At 35.9% G+C, this 16822-nt stretch overlaps 1 protein-coding gene and 1 pseudogene across 1 annotated transcript; both read left to right on the top strand.

Annotated features, from left to right (window-relative positions):
• The first annotated feature begins 698 nt into the window (after positions 1-698).
• On the top strand, positions 699-1631 carry OR5W2 (olfactory receptor family 5 subfamily W member 2). The gene has a single exon (NM_001001960.1). It carries the CDS (start codon positions 699-701, stop codon positions 1629-1631), a length of 933 nt encoding a protein of 310 aa, NP_001001960.1.
• On the top strand, positions 11136-11938 carry OR5W1P (olfactory receptor family 5 subfamily W member 1 pseudogene; annotated as a pseudogene).

The following is a 16822-nucleotide window of genomic DNA, read 5'->3' as shown; positions in this document are numbered from 1 at the left end:
TAGTCTGTTGTTCACACTTCTTTTACCACTTACATTTGGCTTTTGTTTTTTAGAACCAGATAAGTCATCCAAATGGATTATAAATGCTGTGACAAACCAGTGATGATGAGTAACAGTTAAATAAAACATTTTTCTTTTCCAGTAAGCACTAACGACACCACATCAAAAACAGTACCATAATAATTTTCTCTTATTAACTTACATGTAATATCACTGTCAGTGGTAGAAAAATGTATATATTTCTTGAATAATGCAATAAATATGATCCTTTTTTGTCAAATATATGAGATGCTTAGTCCGGTATGTTCTGGCCCTTGTGACTCTAACTATGGTGTTTCTTTCACATCCTTTTGGATCTGTACTGAGCTTTCAGTTTAATCAAATTGACTGCCTTAGATTGTACAATAGAAGCAAAGACAAATGATATATGTCAGAAATTGCATGTAAGTTTAGATTCAAAGTTGATCAACTTCCTTTGGCAGACACTTTTAGGGTTTTTTTTTTTTAATACAGTAATAATGCCTCTTTGAAAGTGACACTCACCTGGGATACTTTTTGAGGGTAAAGAAGATAATTTACATAAACAAATCTTGTTCTACTTTACAGATAATTTTTTTTTTGATATCTTGGAAAGTCAAGTTCTAGACTGTCATTCTCGTAATGATTTCTGTAGCAGTTTGAAACAAGAACAAGGAAGAATGGACTGGGAAAATTGCTCCTCATTAACTGATTTTTTTCTCTTGGGAATTACCAATAACCCAGAGATGAAAGTGACCCTATTTGCTGTATTCTTGGCTGTTTATATCATTAATTTCTCAGCAAATCTTGGAATGATAGTTTTAATCAGAATGGATTACCAACTTCACACACCAATGTATTTCTTCCTCAGTCATCTGTCTTTCTGTGATCTCTGCTATTCTACTGCAACTGGGCCCAAGATGCTGGTAGATCTACTTGCCAAGAACAAGTCAATACCCTTCTATGGCTGTGCTCTGCAATTCTTGGTCTTCTGTATCTTTGCAGATTCTGAGTGTCTACTGCTGTCAGTGATGGCCTTTGATCGGTACAAGGCCATCATCAACCCCCTGCTCTATACAGTCAACATGTCTAGCAGAGTGTGCTATCTACTCTTGACTGGGGTTTATCTGGTGGGAATAGCAGATGCTTTGATACATATGACACTGGCCTTCCGCCTATGCTTCTGTGGGTCTAATGAGATTAATCATTTCTTCTGTGATATCCCTCCTCTCTTATTACTCTCTCGCTCAGATACACAGGTCAATGAGTTAGTGTTATTCACCGTCTTTGGTTTTATTGAACTGAGTACCATTTCAGGAGTTTTCATTTCTTATTGTTATATCATCCTATCAGTCTTGGAGATACACTCTGCTGAGGGGAGGTTCAAAGCTCTCTCTACATGCACTTCCCACTTATCTGCGGTTGCAATTTTCCAGGGAACTCTGCTCTTTATGTATTTCCGGCCAAGTTCTTCCTATTCTCTAGATCAAGATAAAATGACCTCATTGTTTTACACCCTTGTGGTTCCCATGTTGAACCCCCTGATTTATAGCCTGAGGAACAAGGATGTGAAAGAGGCCCTGAAAAAACTGAAAAATAAAATTTTATTTTAAGGAAATAGTAAAAATACATGTTTATACACACAAAAATGCATATTCATACTGGTGTTTTCTTCAAATTATATATTATAACATAAAGTTGTCTCAAATACCCTAATTTAATATAATACATATTTTACTCAGCCACAATCTAGCAATTCTCTGGAATTGTCTAAATATGCTATTTTTTTAATGTGTTTTCAATTTAGGTAAGGTAATTTCTCTATATTTGAAAAATGCTCCAGTCTTTGAGTTAGTGGGGCAAATTTTTATTTGTTTAATATATATTTCAGAGTAATTTTTCTTTTTTTCTTTTCTTTTTTTTTTTGTGATGGAATCTGACCCTATTGCCCAGGTTGGAGTGTAGTGGTGCAATCTCGGCTCACTGCAACCTCCGCCTCCCTGGTTCAAGTGATTCTCATGCTTCAGCCTCCCGAGTAGCTGGGATTACAGGTGCCTGCCACCAGGCCCGGCTAATTTTTGTGTTTTCAGTAGAGATGGGGTTCCAACATTTTGACCAGGCTGGTCTCGAACTCCTGACCTCAGGCGATCCACCCATCTTGGCCCCACAAAGTGGTGGGATTACGGGCGTGACAGGCAGTAATTTTTCTAAGACTTATTGAGTGTTTAGTACATGCCTTTCACATTGCTGTGTACTTTGCATTTCATGCTGAATCCACTATATTCTGTACTAGTGAGTCATAGAATATAGTGGAAACATTTAATTAATCAAACTAACCAATAATTCATAATAAACTATAAAAGGCCATGAAGTCAAAAGGCAGGGTACTGTAAGCATAAACAAAATGTCTAACTAGAGTGAAGAAAAGAAAAGATTCTTTGAAATGGGGACATTTGGTTTTAGATCTAAAAATTCATAGAGATCCAATGGGTGGGTGGAGAGAAGAAAGGATTCTAGATAGAGAGGCTGAAAATTAGACATCCTGAGGTGGACAGGGCAATGCCTTTTTAGAGGAAAGGAAGTCCAACATGTAAGAATTGAAGGATAAAGTGGTACATGCAGTAAAGTCTAGTTGAGTTGATATTCTCTATTCATTTCCACTCTGCTTCTCTTCCCTTCTTCCTATTTCTAGCCCTATTTAAATGTCCCTCTTGTGGTTCATATATAATACTCTTTCAAAGGTACTATTCTATCTATCAGTCTGTTTATTGAACAAACACCACGAGTGTGAGACTGCAAGCATTCTTTGCTCAAAGACTGCATGTGTTATGCCTGTCATCCCAACCAAAGCATCTGCATGGTTTCTGGGTCACCAAATGGAAAAATAGATAAATAATAAAAACCAACACACGGTATAACATTTTTGAATGTTTGTGAGATATCAAAGTCTAGTTAAGTGAGGGTATAATGTGTGCTTTGAATATATATTTTATAGGTTTTTAAAAAACTTTTAAATTTAGGGGTACAAGTGAAAGTTTGTTACATTGGTAAACTTGTGTCATGGGGGTTTGTTGTACAGATTATTTCCTAACCTAGGAATGTGGCCATATATTTGCAAAATCATACAAAACCCAGGTAAAAAGCTTAGTACCCATTAGTTATTTTTTCCTAATCCTCTCCTGTCTCCCACCCTCCACGCTCCAAAAGGCCCCAGTGTGTGTCTCCAAAAGGCCTCCTCTATGTGCCCATGTTTTCTCATCACTAAGCTCTAAGTAAATGAAATGGTTATGGATACCAAGGTGATGAGTCTACAAAGACATGCATAGTAATTACATAGGAAGTTACAGGCATTCATGTGGGTGCTTTCTTCATGTTCACCTACTTTCATTCAGCTCTGCTCCAATGTATAATGCTAAAACCCTATGAGAAACTTGTTGAGAAAACATGGCTGAGGCCACATGTTTGCAAAATCATACAAAACTCAATGACACTTTTCATTAGCCCTTATGATTGTGTAATCTAAAAGACATTGAAAGTCTTAGGTTTTTTTGCTGTCCTTGTAAAATGTCCTTCTGTGAAAACATTGCAGAATGTAAGTAAAGCCCAAAACACACCTCTGCTTTGCAAGGTTTCATTTGTGGGACACTGTGACAGGCTATAGATAAGTATGTTGATGCAAAAAAAAAAAAAAAAAACTACGGGGAATGCTTTATTTTGGAAAACAGGTTTGGAGGGTTTCCACTTGTGACATGTTTTCTCAATTTACTAATACACTTCTGTTAATCTGTTTTATGAGCAGCAGCAGGGTAGAAAACACCCTTTGAAATATTATTAAGTCCAGACAGATTGGAATGTTAGTGAATTGCTGCTAAGATATAAACACGTCATCTCCCTTCCATATAACATATGACAGTTATGTCATGAAAAGGTTGATTTGATTTGCCTTTTGGCTACTTTAATCATGTATAATGAGTGTTGCCTAAAGAGAAGGAAATTTCAACCCCAACAAAGGCAAGGTATTACGCTCAATAAACATAGGTCTAAAAATGGAAGAAACTGAATTAATTAATTGTAACCATTATTTCTCTGAATTTGTACAATTAAAGGTTGAGAAATCGCTTATTGGGAATATTGCTTAGGATATTCATGACTTGAATAAAGATTTGGGCCAGATAGCCTGATCTAACAGTTCCATCCTGGGAGTCTACAGAAATAGGTAAAACATTTATTACAAGGCTTTGATCCGTTCTAGCTTGTCCACCTCAATTCCCACCATTTCCTTCCACTCTCTGTCTCTCTAAATCACTCTCTTATCACACAGTCACCAATGACTGATGAAAAATAGCATTGTCCAAATTTGATATCACCCATGATTTTGTGTAGTGGGTTAACAAGGTAGGAACATTTCTATATCATGAATCCTTTCCTTTAGCCTTGGCACTGAAATACCTAAACATAATAATGACATACGATGGTAGATTTGGATATACATGTAATGCAATGAACAGAAATACATAATGGTGATAGGTTGTATAACTACACTTGTTAAAGTAGAGCAGTACTAATGCTCAATGAGGCAGAATATGGGAGGTCCTGTGTTGAAACCAGAGGCAGTGACTTTTAACCTCCTTGAATATCTCTCTCTAGAAACATGTTATGAACTAGGCACTCGATGCAACTTTAAATTACTGTGGTATTTAACAAGACTCTTCCTCTCTAGAAATGAGTCCCGTCTCATCACCCCCCATAATAAAAAGCCTCATGCTAGTATATTTATAAGATACTTTTCAGTTGCCACATTTTTTTTCTATACATCTATGAGTCTACTGACATGTAAACCTATTCCCACTATTGGATATGCAGTATTTTAAAAGAAATACAAAAATGATGAGTGTCTTCATCTTTCTTTTTTTTTCTTTTTCTTTTCTTTTTTTTCTTTTTTTTTCTTTTTTTTTTTTAGATGAAGATGAAATCTCACTCTGTCTCCCAGGCTGGAGGGGAGTCGTGCGATCTTGTCTCACTGCAACCTCTGCCTCTCGAGCTCAAGTGATTCTCCTGCCTCAACTTCCCGAGTAGCTGGGATTACAGCCATGCACCATGACACCCGGCTAATTTTTGTATTATTAAGAGAGATGGGCTTTCACCATGTTAGCCAGGCTGGTCTCAAACTCCTGACCGCAGGTGATTTGCCCACTTTGGCCTCCCAAAATGCTGGGATTACAGGCGTGGAGTGGCTTCATGTTTATACAAAAGGACTGCCTGTGTCTCCGGGCTGACTTGACCTGAAATTGCAATGACAATGGTGTTAGCTAGAGTGTATGAGTCTTGAAAGGCGAGATATTTTAAAGGAGCATAGCCCCTTTAAATGGCCTTCCATTCTGCATTCAGAATTTCATAGACACATCACAGAATTGGTTACATAACTATTAGTATTCCAGGAAATAAAAATTAAAATCTTAATGCAGTACTATGACTCATCTAAAAATCAACCAAAATAAGTATGATCGACAATATTAATGTCAAGTTTTGGTGTGGATGTGGAAAAATCATACCTTGTACACATGGGTAGTAAAAGTCAGATTGGCATTCACCTTTGGAAAACTAATTGGCAGTTATCTGCTATGGCTGGACACATGCATATCTTATGACTCCAACATTTTGTTCCTTGTTTTATACTCAATAGAATTGAGTAAATATGTCTACCTAAAGACTGTACAAAAATAATCACAGTAACATTATTTGGAATTTGTTGAATAACATTTGATTTGTTTATTAGGATGTTACACAACAATGAAAATGGAGAAACTACCACTACACGCAACAGTATGGAGGAATTGCACATAAAATGAGTGAAATAACCCAGGCATGCAAGAATACAAATTCAATGATATCATTTCTAAATGATTTTTGAAATAAAACTAATCTATCATATTGGATGTCAGTTTATGTTTGGGTCCAGGGACAGTCTCTGAATTGCTGGTTATGTTCTAATTTTTGTTCTGGGTTTTGGATACAAAAATCTTTTCATTTCTGAAAATTCACTTGATATTTACTTTAAATATGTATATACGTGTACATATATGTGTGTATATATGTATACTTTAAAATGTATGCATACTTTAAACATTTTTCAAACAACAAAGGGTATTTACAATCAGATTGTGGACAACTGCAGGATTTCATAATCACTTTTTAAATCTCTAGCAGTTTCTAGGACAAAATATATTTTCAAGCTATGCTTGTAAAAATAATAAAGCACACAACTCTCACAGAATATTTGATTAAATCATTATTCTTTATGTTACTAAAAATGTGCTATCTCGCTTATAAAACAGAGATGCTGGTAGCGCAGTCACTGCTTGTTCTCAGCAACAAGGAGATTAATGATCCTGGTTTTCCTTGGTACCAGTAAATAAGTTAATGCACTGACCTTATTTGAAAATGGCCCATGATTCAGGGCCAGGAAACTATTTTCTGAAGGAAGAACTTATAAGTAGACAGTTGACTATGTAGTATTGTGTTTAGCGGCACCCGTGACATCATTTAGATACACACGTTTTTGTTTTTGTTTTCTCAATTGTTTGTCTGCGAAATCTTAAATTTTACCTTAAGTCTTTTTCCCTCATGATTTTAAAAAAGTCATTCTCTAATAAATTGCAAGTCCTTTGGGAGATAATTTAAATTATCCAATTTTCCACAATATGTTGATATTCATGCTCTAGTGTAAATGGGGAATGGGAATTAGACTATGTTGTCTGGAGGGGCAGCTGTGTTTATGAAGTTAAAATCTGAATCCTGCCTAAACAGAGTGTAGCTTAAGGAAATTTGGTATCTCTGGAGAAAAGCACCCATGGGCAATAAACGTGAGCTTGGAAAGGAATTAGAAGAAGGTGACCTACAGAGCTTATAGCTTTCAGTGAACGCCAAGAATGAGTTCTCAGACAATTCCAGCTTAGCGGGACGAGGGACAGCTCTTCTAAGAGAATCCGCCCCAGCATCCATCTGCCAAGTATTTATTGAAAGGGCTTGTTAACCCACAAACATCCAATAGATGGTTTTTTTGAGGTCTGTTCGTGAGACACCTGTGGCCTTGTAAAAGCACTCAAACCGCATTCTCAGGAGGCTGTTTTCAGCGTTCCTTATTGCACCAAACACTCCACAAGGAGTTTCATTCTCATGCACAAAATACATACAGACAGTGCCTCAGTATTTTTCCATGCCCCAACCTCAAATGCCATGCACATAAGTTGAATATGTTGCCATGCACCCCCCACAGTGACCAGAGACACCTCCACATCCTCCAAATGTGCGCCAGGGAAGCACACAGTGACAGGAAACTCTTGGGTAACAAAAATACTACTTTACTGAGTTTACCTCATGGAAGACGATTAGCAATTACTTAGTTGGTGTGAGCTTTGCTTCAATATTCTCTCCTACAAAAGTACATTTGGCATTTTACTATTGGGATTGTCTCACAAAAATGACAATGAAATATAAAAAAAATAAAAATCGTCACTAAAAATCACTTTTCCAAAAACTGTAAATACATTAATTTCAATGAATTTCACCTAAGTATTCCAGCTTTATATAAACCAAGTAGGAAACACTATAACAAGAAGCAAGAGAGACAAATAAAAATAACAACAACAAATCTATGACTCCTCTTTACTCCAGGTGGGGTTTCAGAAACGACCTGAAGTATTGAAGTGTATAAACTTGTACATGTCTTCCTCATTTTACTGTTTTGCTGTTTGAATAAATTTTGCATATACAGAATTTGTGGTAATTAAATTAATCACATTACAACTCAAGAGCTACAGCTAGTGTACATAATTGTTGTGCATTTTCTTGAAATATCAATCAACATTAGACATTTAAAGATCACATAGTAACCTAAGCTTATAAGCACACTGTAGTGATTAATGCATTATAAAATACCACTCAGAAGATGGCCAATACAAAGGATATATGCTAAAGGCTGTCAGGCTGCACGACTTTAGGGGGCACTGATTTCTTTATTTTCTACTTGTTTCCTGCAATTTTTCAATGCAATGACCTGCCACATCACTTTCTATTGGCACCAATATTAATGACCAAGTGCCTAGTTGATATAAACAAGATAAATTACTCTCCGTATAGCAAACGTTATTTCTTCCTTCTATCTTCAGTCACTTCTGGGATCCTCCTGCCCTGCTTGAGAAGTGACATGAGTGATCTTTGAGAGTTTATGGGCCGTTAATTTTGTGAAATTTCTAACATCACTTTAACATAAACACATTACAATATTCTGTAAGAGTATTTAAGAACACTATATTTTAAGACAGATCTGTTTTATTGTATTTTATTAAAAGATATATTATGAGCAATTTCTATGGATACAATCAAACAATGTCTATAAGACTAAGTTTACTTAATAACTCTGGGCTTCAGGTTCTACATCATATAATGAGGTTGTATGAGACAACTCAGGACATATGTGACAATATATGAAACATATCATAATATGTGATGATAATTAGATAATTATAAAACACCTGACTTGGCAAGAAGACAAAAATTGCCTTTAATTAAGATCAAATCTTTTATTTTTACAGGCCATTTTTAAAAACTTATTTTAATGAAACACTTGGATATGATAAATTATGTATGTGTAATTTTAGTCATATCAGACTTTCTGTGACATGAAGAATTATATATAAATGAAATGGCCATTAATAGAGGATTGGTCAAATAAATTAATGTACATAAATAGAAGTGAATGCATTTTCCTCTAATATTATTTTTTTATATATAAAAATGTTATTCTGACATCATTTTTGTTTAAAAAGCAGAAATCCAATACCATAGACAACAGAACCTGCTTATCCTTATGCAATATGATTATGCCTACTTTTGCTTTTTTTACTAATATCTTTATTTTCCAGCATATTGTAGGAGTGTTGTTTGTACATTTAAGTGTGTTTGAGGGGGGTATTTGTTTTGTATAATGTGCAATTAAAAGAAAATGCCTATGTAGAGATTAGTGAACTGGAAATGATTAATACTGGTTGACTAGAGTCATTTTACTACTGCTAATTAAATATAATATTGAGCATAAGCTAGATAGAAACAAAAGGAATACTTTAAATGGTCGGTATTTTTTTTTCTCAATCATTACCTTACCTATATAAAAGACCAATTGTTAAAACATATTCTTATATTTGTCACTTATTCCTGTGAGAGGAAGTGTCCAATACACAAGAGTCATACACAGAGCTACTTATATAATCCAGGTAGGTCAGGAGACAATACTGAACCCTTGTGCAGAGGGGATTGCCTCCAGTAAAGAAATCAGCACTTATGAATCAGGTACTAACTTTTGCTATTTTTCTGGTTTACTTAGTATATTTCTTTAGTTCTTTTATTATTTTCCACTAAAAGTATCATATAAAACTAAAGGAGACTGTAAAACAATGTGAACATTTATTTTACTAACTTTAATCTAATTATTATTTTAAACATATATACATAGCTGGCAAGGAATGGGATAAAATGCTAGCACTGGCTGTAGAGATTTTTAGACATTATTAGCATTTCAATATCTAATCTGTACATGCATATATTTAAATGTTATATTGTAAAGAAAATCATTATTTTTAAAGATGTGTCTACAAAGGCAGCTTTTTAAATAAATTTAGACTGAAATATTAGAGACCTGCATGTTGATCACTAGACCATTTTTCAGATGTCATTCTTTTTCTGTTTTTCATCTATCTCCAAGTCTACTTTTCTTTTATGTCACAGAACAGAGGGAGACATGTATGATATTATACAAGATATAATTTGCTTAGATGAAATGTAACAATGGGATCAGTCATTAAAACGGCCCTCCAAAGACAGCCAATTTATTTTTAACTGAAGTCTAGCAGGTTTCAGAGGTATAGAAGAGAGGAGTCAAAGAAAACAAACAAACAAAAATTTGTTACCACTTCCTGGTAATTGGGATGGGGAACATAGCTCAGAAATGAATTTGTCTGAGGTTATGAGACTGTGTACATATGAATATTTTTGCACGTCTGATCTGTTGGTGAATGGATAATATGGATTCTATTTGATCAGGGAAGAGGGACCCATATAGTAAATCATAGTCTCTTTCTCTACCACCAGTGCTGCAGCATGACTGCAATTAGTTTCAAAATGTTCTTTATAATCTCCTCTGAGCAACAGCAGCTTTCAGAGGAGAGCATAGTTAGTTAGCCCTGGCATATTCCTGTCTGTCAACCCTAGCTTACTGATCATGGTGACTCTTCTACTCACTTTTCATGCAACCATCACCCTTCCTACCCCAGCAGTTTGTGAACTACAGACTGTCTCCATCCCAGTGACAATAGGATGCAGGTTTGGTTATTAACGCTGGATAGGACCTGGGGAGTTATTGGGAAAGTTAAGGAATGTTATATGTAAGAACCCGTCATTGCCCTGCCTCCTCCACATTTTTGGATGATGAGAGAAACATAATGGGATATACTCATTACCTGCACCTATCACTTAACTATGCTTGTCTATTACGAGATATCACAACCTTTCTACAAAACTGAAAGGAAAAGCAATAACAATAATCTTGCCATAAGATGTTGGTCATCTGGTCAAACTAATTATAAGAACAGTTACCTTGAACTCTGAGGACATCAATTTCCTAGTCTATAAAAGAGAAGTAGCAAAAATCACCATAAATAAATAATGCATAGGTTTTCATGAAATTAGCATGATTTAATATAAGTGAAAGTGTACTACAGCCTCTGTACATTGCCATACAAATATAAGAGATATTATTGTGATCATTTTGTTGATTTACTTTAAATTGGATATTTTTTAGTAGTTTGTTTATATCTTTATTTTTAATTACTGAAAAAAGACCATCAGTTTGACTATTAATATAGTAAGATAATATTAACCCTTCACTTCTGTTTTCTTCTTTCAAACCAGGGATTTCCAGATCTGAATGATGACTCTTAAGAACTGCACTGTGTTTACTGACTTTATATTCTTAGGACTTTCAGGTACACAGGATATACAGCAGGGGCTCTTTGTGCTTTTCTTCCTGATTTATGGCATAACTGTGATTGTCAATCTAGGGATGATCCTACTGATCAAGATGGATCTCAGACTTCACACACCCGTGTATTATTTCCTGAGCAATTTGTCTTTCTGTGATGTCTGCTACTCTTCCACGTCTCTCCCAAATGCTAGCTGATTTCTTATCGGACCAAAAGTGGATTCCGTATAATTTATGTGCCATTCAGATGTATTTATTTGGAGTCTTTGCAGATGTGGAATGTCTCATGTTGGCTGTCATGGCCTATGATCGTTATGTTGCCATTTGCAATCCACTTCTTTATACGATCACTATGCCCAGGAGGATCTGCACCCAGCTAGTGGCTCTTGCCTATGTTGTAGGTTTGGTGGATTCTGCAATCCACACCTGCTGCACATTCAGATTGTCATTCTGCAATTCTAATGTCATCAATCACTTTTTCTGTGACATCCCACCCTTGCTAGCCCTCAATCCTACTATTAATTGCTATTAATGAGATAGTGATGTTCACATTCGTTGGCTGTGTTGCGGGGTGCAGCATTGTCACTGTCTTCCTCTCCTACAGCTACATCATAATTACCATCCTTAAAATGAGCTCAGCTGAGGGCAGACGGAAAGCCTTCTCTACCTGCACCTCCCACTTGATGGCCGTGGCTGTATTTCATGGCACACTCCTGTTCATGTATTTCCGACCCAGTTCAAGTTACTCAATGGAAACAGACAAAATGGCCTCTGTTTTCTACACAGTTGTCATACCTATGTTAAATCCACTGATCTACAGCTTAAGGAATAGGGATGTGAAAGGTGCTCTGAAAAAAGCAATAAGCACTAAATTATATTCTGTATGAAACTGTGATTTCCATTCAAAAATAATAAAGTTCTGAGACTTAAAGTTCATGTAAATCGACATATGTTTCTGTAGTCTCACCCATACAGCCTTCAAGGTATTTTTAATTACTTACCATTGTGCTTAAATTGTGTGTAGTGGGCAGGAATTATTTGTCTTAGTCTTCCTTCTAAACCAAGGAGGAGTAGAAATAGATCCTTTTGTTGTTTTGCAGAGAAGATCCTTTTATATTTCCCCACTGTGTTCATGAATATGCCCCAGTGCTGTTGTGGGTTATAGTGAATCCTCTTCCCGCATCAATTTAAGAACCTTCCCTAAATTTCCAATTTCATAAAAAACATGCTGTATAAATACAGTTGCTCAGTCAAAGGGAGTTTTAGAGAATCAAACTCAGTCTGGTTTGTGTTCTTGCTATGTATGAGTATCATCCTATAAATGTCCAGCATATACTTATGAGTAAATAAGTAGTAAATAAATAAAAATAAATAAGAAATCTCTTGCCCTAGACATGAAATTCCATAAAGGTAATGTCTTTTCCTATCTTGTTCACCATTATTTCTGCTTTGTTATTTTTAATGTTTGGCCCCAGGATACAATTTATAAACAGTTATTCAATAAACACATCAATGTTCCTCACAAAATTCGTGCAAAAATGAGGCTTTGTACATTTACCAGAAAAAGAAATCCCTTTCATTTCATTCTAGTATGTTCACCTTGGATGAAATCCATCTGTACCTCTTGTCTTTTGGCCTAGGTTTGAAATAAGTTATCAGAAACAGAGATCATTTGATGTACTGAACAGTTTTTCTCAGATCCTCTGTTCCTCATGACGTCAGCAGACATCCCCAGGATCACCAACCCCAGATTTTTATTGCACTTCATAGTCTCAGCACCAGGCTCTGGACTTCCCTCCTGCCCTTACTCTGGGGAACAGGCATGCTGCTTTTGACAACCTATAGGACTGTATAATTGGAATTAAGGATCTGGACTTTCTCCAGAGGTCACTGGAAAAACAGCCTCAGTCTCCCTTGATGAATTTATAGCATTATACTATGTTAATGGTTTATACTATGTTTCATGGACATGTATATGTATACATGTTTTAACTCATATGAGTCATGTGAGTTAAAATTTCAAAACTGAAATGTCCAATTGATATAGGTTAAGTTGTAAAGTATGTTCAATGGAAAAAACACACAAATGACAAGTCATATTTACATTAGTATATCATTTATAATAACTTATATTGCTTCTTTGTGTATTTATGAAACAAACTGGAATCCTATTATAAACAAAATATTAATAGTGGTCATATCTAACTGATTGGCTATTAGGTAATCCTACAATATATTTCAATAATTTAATTAATGGCATATATTGTTCTCACTGAAATCATTTAGAAATTAACCAAGTTACGAAAAACATAACACGATTTTCAATTCTAAGGGTTATTCATTTTATTTTAAATTGTCATGAAGGAAACACGAAGGCACTCTTCTCTGGTGCTAGGAAGAAAAGGTAATAGATTATACAGGGTTTCATTTAAGCCTTCTCCCATAATTGTATATATAATTTTAGTTATAAATTGCATTGAGTGTTATATGTTTCAAAGCATCATAGGAGTGAAACAATTAATTAAAACATAAAACTTTTAGCAGAATATTTGTTTTGCATTACTAATTGAACAGAATTTTAAGACAAAAATATTTCACTATCTCTTAAGTGTTTCTTTTCCTCCATAATTTTAAATGGCATATTGATTGTTCATAGAATGTATCACTTATTAGGACCCCTCCATCACTTCCCAAATCATTCCCTAATGCAATGTACTTTTTATTTATTTATTTTTTTATTTCATTTCTGTTTATTAACTAAGCACCAATATGTGTTAGGCACTCTGTTGAGTAACAAAGATGAATACAGCACAGTCTTTGTTCTCCATGACTTGCTAATCAATAGATAAGATAGATTTGTAAGTAAATAAGTAGAGTTGTTTTGATGAGTGCTGTATTAGACATGAATAAGCTTATATAGTTGTACAGAAAAGGAGAATTTACTTCAGAGAGATTGAGAAGGGGTTTGGGTTGGTTTTGTTGTTATAATAAAGCTCTTAGCTCTTTAAGCTGACTCTGTAAATGACTCATTTGAGCAAGCAATGTACTTTTTAAAAAACATATTAATTATATTCATATCTATAAGAAAACTAAACACCAGGCATGGTGGCTTATGGTGGCTACCAGCACTCTGGGAGGCTGAGGCAGGCAGATCACTTGAGCTCAGAAGTTTCAGACCAACCTGAGTAAAATAGTGAGAACCTGTCTCCACAAATGCAGAAAAATTAGCCAACTAATGACTAAAGCAAGTGATTTAGTATCTATTAGCTATGGTCATTCCTAGCATTATTTTTGAATAATTAAAATAATGTATTCTTAAGATGTGACTGTCATAAGTGTTTATGATAATAAATTAATTGATATATTAACATACCTTCCAGACACAACTTCTAGAGAAGGATAAGAGATTGAATTCAGGCCACTGAAAATTCCTCCTCAGTACTAATAGAATGAATTTAAAATATTGAAAGATAGCACAATTAATCAACAGTGCCAGAAAAGAAAATTAGTTGAGCCAGGTACAGTGGCTCACGCCTGTAATCCCAGCACTTTGGGAGGCCAAGGCAGGCAGATCACTTGAGCTTGGAAGTTCAAGACCAGCCTGGGCAACATGGCAAATCCCATCTCTACAAAAAAATTAAATAAAAAAAGAAATCTGGGTTTGGTGTCATGCGCTTGTCATCCCAACTACTCAGGAGGCTGAGGTGGGAGGATGGCTTGAGCCTGGGAGGTCGAGGCTGCAGTGAGCTGAGATTGCACAACTGCACTCCAGCCTAGGTGACAGAGTGACAACCTGTCTCAAAATAAACAAACCAAAAAAACCCCAAATACTCATTTTATATAAAATTGGCTTCACTGTCCATTTTTCACATTATATGTAAGACAAAAAGATACTCCTTACTTATTTATTCACCTTTTTCATTAAAGACACCAATTTAATAGTCTTCATACATCACCAAGTCTACGTGTAGTCTTGGTTTGATTTGTTGTTTTTTTTTTTTTTGAGACGGAGTCTCGCTCTGTCGCCCAGGCTGGAGTGCAGTGGCGCGATCTCGGCTCACTGCAAGCTCCGCCTCCCGGGTTCACGCCATTCTCCTGCCTCAGCCTCCCGAGTAGCTGGGACTACAGGCGCCCGCTACCACGCCCGGCTAATTTTTTGTATTTTTAGTAGAGACGGGGTTTCACCGTGTTAGCCAGGATGGTCTCGATCTCCTGACCTCGTGATCCACCCACCTCGGCCTCCCAAAGTGCTGGGATTACAGGCGTGAGCCACCGCGCCCGGCCGTTTGTTTTTTATTGTTTTATTTCATTTTAAAAATTGATAAATACAGGAGAAAATTTAAGATAAGAATTTGGACTTGAAGTGAGACTGACATGGGTTCACATCTGTATGTGAACTATCAGTCACTCTCAGTTACATGTTAGCTGCGTGACCTTAGTTTACTTAACAAGGTTAGGTCTCAGTTTCCTCATTTCTTTAACATGTGTTTAATATATGCATTATAAGATTAAAGCTACATATCTTTGTCTCTAAGTATAAATATAGATGTATATTATATCTGTTTTTGTGTGTGTATACACACACACACACACACACACACACACACACATATAAACTCCCTTGATTAATCTCAGGGATTAGATATATATCAATGATATCTATCTATCTATCTATCAATCATCTATCTCCTTAAGATTGATGAAGGGAGTTTCCAAGAACATACTGAGCCCACTCTCCAGTACTAACCTCCTAGTACTGAAAGAAAGTTTGATATTGTTCTCAGCATCATGTTATGAAACAGTCTGCAGGCTCCATCTTCTTCTATCCTCTTTACAACCTGCTCAACTAGTTGGTCACATTACAATTACCAATCCTAGCCTCAGGTCATATTTCTAGCTGGCTGCCAAGCTACCTTAGGACATCTTTTTTTCTGATCCTGGTTAGAGCTGAGTAGAGGTTTCTTCATGGCTACCCGTGCTGGCTGTACCATTCCTATGTTAAGGTCAGGAGACTGAAACTATACTATTGATTTAAGTCCTAGACCCCACAATCCCGAGAAGTCAGTTTAGGTAATTAATCCCAGAGTACCTCATTTTTACCTTAAGATGTGAAACTTTATCCCAAGGGCTGTGACTGACATGCCATGTGTTCATACAAAGGAATCAATATCTATTCATTGTGATGAACCCTTGCACGTAAAACATTTCCTATTCAATATTTAGGATGAAGCACGTGGTTCTTATTAATTTCAGGATGCTAATTCGGTCTTCACTATTTATTTACTTTTTATTTTTTCTTTTTTTGAAATTTTATTATTATTATACTTTAAGTTTTAGGGTACATGTGCACGATGTGCAGGTTCGTTACATATGTATACATGTGCCATGCTGGTATGCTGCACCCATTAACTTGTCAATTAGCATTAGGTATATCTCCTAATGCTATCCCTCCCCCCATCCCCACCCCACAATAGTCCCCAGTGTGTGATGTTCCCCTTCCTGTGTCCATGTGCTCTCATTGTTCAATTCCCACCTGCGAGTGAGAACATGCAGTGTTTGGTTTTTTGTCCTTGCGATAGTTTGCTGAGAATGATGGTTTCCGGCTTCATCCATGGCCCTACAAAGGACATGAACTCATCATTTTTTTATGGCTGCATAGTATTCCATGGTGTATATGTGCTACATTTTCTTAATCCAGTCTATCATTGTTGGACATTTAGGTTGGTTCCAAGTCTTTGCTATTGTGAATAGTGCCGCTATAAACATACG

The sequence above is a fragment of the Homo sapiens genome, chromosome 11 (assembly GCF_000001405.40).
Source record: "Homo sapiens chromosome 11, GRCh38.p14 Primary Assembly".
In the NCBI taxonomy this organism is placed as follows: domain Eukaryota; kingdom Metazoa; phylum Chordata; class Mammalia; order Primates; family Hominidae; genus Homo; species Homo sapiens.
Note: the sequence above shows the minus strand (reverse complement) of the source record. Positions and strands in the feature narration are given on the sequence as shown.